Consider the following 2,265-nt stretch of genomic DNA (forward strand, 5'->3'; position numbering starts at 1 on the left):
GCCCGGGCTGAGTTGAGGTCATCATTCCTCCAGCCTGCCCAGCAGCTCCTGTGCTATCTGAGGTGGGGACCTAGGGAGGAGGTAAGTTGGAGTTGAGTCCCTGGGCAAAGAAACATGATGCCCCCTCCTACTGGAAGGGGAGCCCCAGTTGGGGATGGGGGGCAGAGAGGATAAGGCCTACCTGAGCAAGCCTTCTCCATTCTGCCAGTCGGGATGGCAGGGAGGGACTTTGGTGCCCCCTCATTTGTTTCTCCATATGTGACCCTTCCACATGTGCACCTGGCCCCATGTCTGTGTGTGTGACTGAATGATGCTATGTGTGTGCAGGGGGTTATAGCTTTCTCCAGAATCATCTGTGTGCCTGTTTGTGTGTGGAGGGCAGCCAGATGGGGGCGCATTGTCCTTCCCACCATCTCCTCAGCTTGTGTGGAGCTCTAGCCGCAGTCTCAATTATCTAAGCCAAAGAAACAGCCTTGGCTCCCCTTCCCTCCCCTCCTCTCCACTCCCCTCCCGCACAGGGCCAGGATCCCTGAAGAGAAATTAAAAGGTTATTTAAAGCCCCCGCCTCCGCCTTTCTTGTCCCTTTAAATCGAGCCTAAACGGTTTTGCTTTGGCAGAAGAAATCTTTTCTGGAGCTTTGGGGTGGGGGTGGGGGATCCTGGTGGGAGAGAAGGGTCTAAGCGGCCTAATCCTCTTACCGCCCCCTCCTCTCCTCTCCTCTCCCTTCTGAGGCCCACTGCTCCCCCCACCCCCCCGAGGCACCCAGCCCCTAACTCTGACTGAAGATCGACCCGGACCCTCAACTCTGCCTGTGGCCCCTTCTGCCCCACCCAGCACAAAATTCCTGACGCCCTCAACCCAGGCTGGGGCTCTAAAATCTACTGGCAGTATTGGCCAGCCAGCACCAGCTCCTCCCGGTGCCTGAGCCCCTAAGCAAGCAGCCCAGCTCCCAGGAGGTAGACCTGAGAGCTTCGCTTATAGACCAGAGGGACTGCCAGAAGCAGGGTCCCTCTGCTCTGGTCCCAAGACTCTGTGCCCATCCTGCGCGCAGCCACCTGGATTTGCAGCTACGTTTGAGCTGAAAATTGCACAAGGGCTCGCTACACACACACAAAGGAGTCACCACCATATGAAACCCCACAGCTGCACATGGATTCGTGGTCACGGGAGCACCAGTCACAAGGGCACACTCAACATGTGAGTCACAGTTGCAGCCACTGAGGCCAAAGGCTGGTTGCACAGTGTCCCCTCCCCACCTACCCCACACCCCCCCACACACACTTGGCCAAGGCCTCTCCAGCCACCTCCACACAGCCACATCCACAGAGCCTCCCAGAATCTCTATAGAGCAACTTGTCACCCCTGCATCCACTGGCAGTGTGGGCGTACACCTGCCCCCTGGCACACAGCTCAGACACACACCTTTTGGGAAGCCGAGCCTCTGCCTGATTGAGAGCCGGCCCCAGAACGTCCTCTTCCTATGAGCCGGTTCCCGCCTGGAGGGAGCAGAGCGCTGGTAAGAGCAGGACCATCTCAGGCCCAGGATTTTCCCGAAGTGGACCGGTCGCCGAGTGTGTTTGTTCCCCCAGTCCCGGCGACAGGTGCCTGTGCTGTGTGTGAAGCCGCGAGTTCCAGCCCGCGGCCTCCCGGCCCAGAGGCCAACATCCAGGTGCTAGACAGGTGAGCGGCTGCTAGGAGCGCAAACCAGCGCACCCGCGGGGTGTGTGGGCGGCGAGTTCAGAGTACTGGCTGTGGCGCTGCATGGTGGCGCGGGGGTGGCAGTGTTGTTGCAGGTGGTGTGGAACTGATGGGAAGAGGTATGTGTGCGCGCGTGTGTGTGCGCACAACCTTGAAGGGACAGTGGGGACGGGAGTCCGTCGGGGCTCCCCCAGGTCACCTCTACGGACTCCAGCTGCCAAGCGTCGGGGTGGGACCGGCGAGGGGGAGGTTTCTCAAGACCTTTCAACACCCCAGGGATCGGCCTGCGGCTTCCGCGGACCCAAGAGAGGCAGAGATCCCTGGACCGGGAGCCAGAGCTCGAGGAGCAGAGATTCGGGAGAGGTGACGGACGCGAGCCCGGCGCACAGACCCACCGACTGTCGGGCCACCTTGGTCGGGAGCTGGGCTGCGGCACCAGCGGGGCGGGGCAGGGCGGGGCGGGAGCGAGGCGTGATTGGCAGCCACCAGGGCCATTAGGAAGCGCCCGGGCCCGCGCCGGGCGCCCGGGAAACGCAGTTTAAAACTCCAGCCCAGGCCCCGTCGCGC

The sequence above is a fragment of the Homo sapiens genome, chromosome 1 (assembly GCF_000001405.40).
Source record: "Homo sapiens chromosome 1, GRCh38.p14 Primary Assembly".
Lineage (NCBI taxonomy): Eukaryota > Metazoa > Chordata > Mammalia > Primates > Hominidae > Homo > Homo sapiens.